At 46.7% G+C, this 6,871-nt stretch overlaps 2 annotated features.

Annotated features, from left to right (window-relative positions):
• Window positions 4,475–4,680: a silencer, noted in NCBI's record as "fragment chrX:41165064-41165269 (GRCh37/hg19 assembly coordinates)". NCBI's record gives its function as "represses an EF-1alpha promoter that drives an FKBP-Casp9 reporter gene in an ReSE screen in K562 erythroleukemia cells {active_cell/tissue: K562}" and the evidence as "EXISTENCE:reporter gene assay evidence [ECO:0000049][PMID:32094911]".
• Window positions 5,869–6,432: an enhancer, noted in NCBI's record as "NANOG hESC enhancer chrX:41163312-41163875 (GRCh37/hg19 assembly coordinates)". NCBI's record gives its function as "activates a minimal SCP1, AML or CMV promoter by ChIP-STARR-seq in primed H9 embryonic stem cells {active_cell/tissue: H9 hESC(primed)}" and the evidence as "EXISTENCE:reporter gene assay evidence [ECO:0000049][PMID:30033119]".

Here is a 6,871-nt window from a genome sequence, read left to right as displayed (position 1 = left end):
GGAGGCTGAGGCCTCCTGAATCCCTTCCCGGGTTCAAGAATAGCTTGAACCCAGGAGGCGGAGGTTACAGTGAAGCAAGATCATGCCACTGCACTCCAGCCTGGGTGACAGAACAAGACTCTGTCTCAAAAAATAAACAAATAAAAACTCTTATTTTCTTTCTTTTTTTTCTTTTTCTTTTTTTTTTTTTTTTTAGATGGAGTCTTGCTGTGTTGCCCAGGCTGGAGTGCAGTGGCGCAGTCTCAGCTTACTGCAAGCTCTGCCTCCCGGGTTCCAGCCATTCTCCTGCCTCAGCCTCCCGAGTAGCTGGGACTGCAGGCACCCGCCACCATGCCCGGCTAATTTTTTTGTATTTTTAGTAGAGACGGGGTTTCACTGTGTTAGCCAGGATGGTCTCCATCTCCTGACCTCGTGATCCGCCCACCTTGGCCTCCCAAAGTGCTGGGATTACAGGCGTGAGCCACCTCGCCTGGCCAAAACTCTTATTTTCTGTTCGGAAATTGTTTTTCTTTGTTTTCTAAAATTATTATTACAGACATTTTGTTTACTACTAATTTTTCATTATAAGAAACGGTATACGCCAGGTTGGTGGGCTCAAGCCTGTAATCCCAGTACTTTGGGAGGCCAAGGCGGGCAGATCAGCTGAGGTCGGGAGTTCGAGACCAGCCTGACCAACATGGAGAAACCCTGTCTCTACTAAAAATACAAAATTAGCCGGGCGTGGTGGCACATGTCTGTAATCCCAGCTACTCAGGAGGCTGAGGCAGGAGAATTGCTTGAACCTGGGAGGTGGAGGTTGCCGTGAGCCAAGATCACGCCATTGCACTCCAGCCTGGGCAACAAGAGCAAAACTCCATCTCAAAAAAAGAAAAAAACAAAAACAAACCAGAGAGGGTATTTAGCCATGTTATGAGTTATATAGAATTTTGAAGTCTAGTCTAGGAATCTAATATCCATTTAACATAGTTCTGTTTTCCTCTAGGAAAATGCATTCCAAATGCCAAACCACAAACTTCAAAATGACATTTTGTGGACACACCCCATTTGTATCTGACTCCTGCCTGCTCATTTGCTTCTTTCCATTGAGCTACACACATCATGAACTTGGATTTTGTGCATGACATTGAAATACTGAAAAGCAAAGTCAATGCGGGCATTTCAGGCAGGCTCTGTGTTGGTTTGGGACTGAGCTGTTTTTCCCTATGCCATGCTGTGTCCACCAGTCTAACCCTTAGCCCTACTGTGAACCATAGAAGGGCAGGAGCTTCCCTTTAGGAACTATTTTCCACTTAAACAGAAACTGCTGGTTAACATCACTGGCCAAGTCGGGATCACTGCTGTCTGGGCTGGTGACGTCTGGGGTTACTGTCCACATGTGTCTGCTTTCCCTCAGCTGTGCCCTTCGGCTATTGGTACCCAAAGGGAAGAGGAAGGAAGAGTTGTGACAGCAGCAGTGCCCCCAGCAGGAAAGAGGGAGAGCAGTACACCCAGCCTGTGACACCCACTCTTGCCTGTCCACAAGCCCAGCATGGTAGGGGCACGGCTGTCAGGGAACTCTGCCACACTCCTCATTAAAGCCCCATAGCCAGGTGTGGTGGCTCATGCCTGTAATCCCAGCACTTTGGGAGGCCGAGGTGGGCAGATCACCTGAGCTCAGGAGTTTCAGACCAGCCTGGCTAACATGGCGAAACCCCATCTCTACTAAAAATACAAAAATTAGCTGGGCTTGGTGGCGCACGCCTGTAATCCCAGCTGTTCAGGAGGCTGAGGCAGGAGAATTGCTTGAACCCGAGAGGCGGAGGTTGCAGTGAGCCGAAACCGCACCACTGCACTCCAGCCTGGGCAACAGAGTGAGACTCTGTCTCAAAAAATAAAACAAAAAGAAAAAGAAAAAAAAGCTCCAAGGGACAAGACTGAGACCCAAAACAAAAATCAAAATCCCTTCTACAACTCTGAACACAGTGTTAGGCACCCTATGTGAGGTAACGATGTTAGGTGAGTGAATTAACTGAATAAGTGACTTCCAGCACTCTAGCTAGGCAAAAATGTGAATTTGCAACATAAATTATTACTTACTTTATAAAAGAATCACCCTGGGCTTGCTTTATTTTATTTTACTTTATTTATTATTTATTTATTTATTTATTTATTTATTTTGAGATGGAGTCCCACTCTGTTGCCAGGCTGGAGTGCAGTGGCACAATCCCGGCTCACTGCAACCTCTGCCTCCCAGGTTCAAGCGATTCTCCTGCCTCAGCCTCCCAAGTAGCTGGGATTACAGGCGTGCGCCACTACGCTCAGCTAATTTTTGTACTTTTAATAGAAACGGGGTTTCATCATGTTGGCCAGGATGGTCTTGATCTCTTGACCTTGTGATCCGCCCACCTCGGCCTCCCAAAGTGCTGGGATTACAGGCGTGAGCCACCACGCCCGGCCTTACTTTATTTTTTGTTGTGTGGAGATGGAGTCTTACTGTGTTGCCCAGACTGGTCTCAAACCCCTGGGCTCAAGTGATCCTCTCACCTCCCAAAGTGCTGGGATTACAGGTGTGAGCCACGGTGCTGGGCCTTGGGCTTACTTTTGAGGGTAATCCTAGAGAAGTTAAAAATAGAGAAATGTAAGTTGTATGTAAATTTTAAAAGAATTTTTTAATAAAAAATAGGATTTCAGTTACATGCAAATTTCTGGAGTCCCCAACATGTCCACTGTGTAGAATAAGACATGTCTTTAGGCAGATATTTGTTAATTATGAATAATTTTTATTCACACAGGTTCATTTTTCCTCAAATTATCCAGAAAACTGGTGCATGCCAGGGGGGCTTTGGGATGAGCCACAATTCTTTTTTTCTTTTTTTTTGAGACAGAGTCTTGCTCTGTCACCCAGGCTGGAGTGCAATGGTGCAATCTTGGCTCACTGCAACCTCTGCCTCCCGGGTTCACGCCATTCTCCTGCCTCAGCCTCCCTAGTAGCTGGGACTACAGGTGCCCACCACCATGCCCGGCTAATTTTTTTTGTATTTTTAATAGAGACGGGGTTTCACCGTGTTAGCCAGGATGGTCTCGATCTCCTGACCTCGTGATCCGCCCGCCTAGGCCTCCCAAAGTGCTGGGATTACAGGTGTGAGCCGCCGCGCCCAGCCAAGGGATGAGCCACAATTCTTAAAACTTTCACAAGACATAGAAATTTTGACTTATGCTGGGCACAGTGGCTCACGCCTGTAATCCCAGCACTTTGGGAGGCTGAAGTGGGCAGATCACCTGAGGTCAGGAGTTTGAGACCAGCCTGGCCAACATGGCAGAACCTGTCTCTACTAATGATACAAAAAAATTAGCCAGGCGTGGTGGTGCACACCTGTAATCCCAGCTACTCAGGAGGCTGAGGCAGGACAATCACTTGAACCTGGGAAGGCGGAGATTGCAGTGAGCCAAGATCGTGCCATTGCACTCCAGCCTGGGCGATGGAGCGAGACTCTATCTCAAAAAAAAAAAAAAAAGAAAAGAAAGAAATTTTGACTTAAACCGGGGCGAGGGGAGGGAATCTTTTTAAAGAGCCACCAAATATTTATTGCTGCCACTCAATCTCATGGACTCTAAACTAGTCATTGCCTGGAAATTAAGCCGTTGCCATGTCTCCAGGTCTGCTATGCAGGCAAAGAAAAGCAGAGCCATCTTCTATTGAATAGCACCTGTCAGAGGGTTGCCAAAACTCTGGGGAAAATCCTCAGGCGATGTTTTTTTTTTGTTTTTTTTTTGAGACGGAGTTTCACTCTTGTTGCCCAGGCTGGAGTGCAATGGCGCGATCTTGGCTCACTGCAACCTCTGCCTTCCAGGTTCAAGCAATTCTGCCTCAGCCTCCCGAGTAGCTGGGATTACAGGCGTGCACCACCATGCCCAGCTAATTTTGTAATTTTAATAGAGACAGGGTTTCTCCATGTTGGTCAGGCCAGTCTCGAACTCCTGACCTCAGGTGATCTGCCTGCCTCGGCCTCCCAAAGTGCTGGGATTACAGGCGTGAGCCACGGCGCCTGGCCTACTCAGGCAATGTTAACCATGTAGTCCACAGCTGCAGTCCTGACCAGCTTCCACACAGGGCTTCAGTAAAACCTGAAATGTGCTGTATTACCTACCAGATTGAAAACATTCCCCTCCCTCCTCCTGAAAAGATAACACCCAACAACTATTGGTTGCAAGAGGATGCAAGGGAGTGAGTATTCTCATAAATTGGTGGTAGGAGAATAAATTGCAGTCAACTTTATGGAGAATAGTTTTTCAATACAAAATCCTTAAAAGTGTTTATACTCTGTCATTCAAAAACTCCACTTCTGGTCAGACACAGTGGCTCACGCCTGTAATCCTAACACTTTGGGAGGCTGAGGTGGATGGATCACGAGGTCAAGAGATCGAGATCATCTTGGCCAACGTGGTGAAATCCCGTCTCTACTAAAAATACAAAAATTAGCTGGGCGTGGTGGTATGCGCCTGTAGTCCTAGCTACTCAGGAGGCTAGGGCAGAAGAATCGCTTGAACCTGGGAGGCAGAGGTTGCAGTGAGCCGAGATCGCGCCACTGCACTCCAGCCTGAGCAACAGAGCAAGACTCCATCAAAAAAAAAAAAAAAAAAATCCCCCCCACCAAAAAAACCCCTCCACTTCTAGAACTGTATTAAAAGAAAACAAAGAAATATTTTTTAAAGTGTATGTAAAGCCAGGGACGATAGTGCATGCCTGTAGGTACCAGCTATGAGGAGGGCTGAGGCAGGAGGATCACTGGAGCCCAGGAGTTCAAGGCCAGCCTGGGCAACATAGTGAGATCCCCCATCTCTTTTTTAAAAAGTGTATGTAAGAGGATATTTTTCCCAACATTATTTATAATAGCAAAAAATACCGGAAAGCAATATAAAATAAGGCACCGAAATGATCGAATACTATGAACTGATCTAAGTCATTAAAGTTGTAGAAGGATATTTAATGACCTGGAAAATTGTCCATGATATCTGAAGTAGACGGAAGCAGATCACAAAGGAGCATCTTCCCCAGGTTTAGAAGGATAACGTGTGTTTATGTGTGCACAGAAAAAGGACTGGAGGGATACACACAAAAATATTGACATAGTTATCTCTGGATGATAGAATCAGGGCTGATTTTTAAAAATTAATTAATTATTTATTTATTTTTGAGATGGGGTCTCACTCTGTCACCCAGTCTGGAGTGCAGTGGTGCCATTTTCACTCACTGCAACCTCTGCCTCCCAGGCTCAAGTGATCCTCTCACCTCCGCCTCCCAAGTAGCTGCGATTACAGGTGTGCACCACCACCCCAGGTAATTTTTTGTATTTTTGGTAGAAATGAGGTTTCACCATGTTGCTCAGGCTGGTCTTGAACCCCTGAGCTCAGGTGATCCACCCGCCTCAGCCTTCTAAAGTGCTGGGATCACAGGCGTGAGCCACTGCGCCCAGCCTGTGCTGATTTTACAGTCTTCTTGGTGCTCGTCTTATTTTCCAATTTTCCAATGAACATGATTGTTTTTGTAATCAGGAAGAAACATATTCTAACAAAATAATTGTTCTGTAGGGCCACTTTGTTCTCCTTTCCTGAACCTCATTTGTGTCACAGACTCCTTTGAGAATGTGATGAGAATTGTGGATCTTCTTTCCAGAAGTGCCAATATATATATTATCAGATTTTACCTATAATTTCTGGGTATTCACAACCTAGGGGTTCATAGGCCCTGAGTTCAGAACTGTTCATCCACAGTCTGGGTGGCTTCCACCCTGTATATAGATTTGATTGGCTCTTGTTTTTTTGTTAGTTTGTTTGTTTTGTTTTGAGATGGAGTCTCACTCTGTCACGCAGGCTGGAGTGTAGTGGTGTGATCTCGGCTCACTGCAACCTCTGACCCCTGGGTTCAAGCAATTCTCCTACCTCAGCCTCCCGAGTAGCTGTGATTACAGGCGCTTGCCACCGTACTGGGATTACAGGCGTGAGCTACCGCACCCGGCTGATTTGGTTGGCTCTTGGCACATTCTCCAGTGGTGCTGGAGTCCCCGGCCTTCTCCCCCACCGCCAGCCCTTTGACCACTCCAAGAGCAGGTGGGGCCTGTCCTCAGAATATCAATGGACTCATGTAGGTACTCTGATGTGCCGGAGTTGAGTCTCTCAGGACAACATCAACAACTGAAAAGAGTAGGTGGAGAAGATCACTGTGTTCTGGAATCCTGCCCTCAAAGCAGGTAGGAAGAGTGAACATTGCAGGCCACTTCTGTAGTTTCTTAATGAGCTTTGGCCACTTGCTGCTCCCCAGGGGACTGGGGACTATATACTCAGATGACTGTTATTTGGATGCAGCCAGTAGGATGCTTGGGACTTTGAAAATTAATAGCAGGCAGTTATCATTGAGAAACCTGACTCAACATAGGAAGAGAATGATGAGAGCCGAGAGTAATGACTGGAGACTGGAGAACCACAGTCACGGGGTTACTGTCAGAGGCAGGAATTCAGAGACTTGGTGGCAGAAATGAAGAGGAAAGTAGAGCTTCAAACCTTAGTCCCACTGGACCCAAGATCGTGACCTTCGAGGAAGGTCAGGGGCATTGTATATGTGCCCCAGTTGAGGCTGGGGAAAGGTCTTAGAGCTGATTTGTGAATACTTTTATTATAGTTCTTACCTGTGAACTGAAAGCTAGCTGCTCATACGGCCGATGGAAAGGCCACAAAAGTTTCTAAACCAAAAAGCGACAAGATCTGAATCGACTCAGAGAAAGATAAGACCCCTTGGAGGTCAGAGGGGTACCAGATAGGAGGCTGTTGGAGTGATGGGACGTGAACTGAGGTAGTGGGGCTGGAGACTCGTTCAAGCTATAGAACCCAGAGGATC

Source organism: Homo sapiens, chromosome X (genome assembly GCF_000001405.40).
Source record: "Homo sapiens chromosome X, GRCh38.p14 Primary Assembly".
NCBI classification, from domain to species: domain Eukaryota; kingdom Metazoa; phylum Chordata; class Mammalia; order Primates; family Hominidae; genus Homo; species Homo sapiens.
Note: the sequence above shows the minus strand (reverse complement) of the source record. Positions and strands in the feature narration are given on the sequence as shown.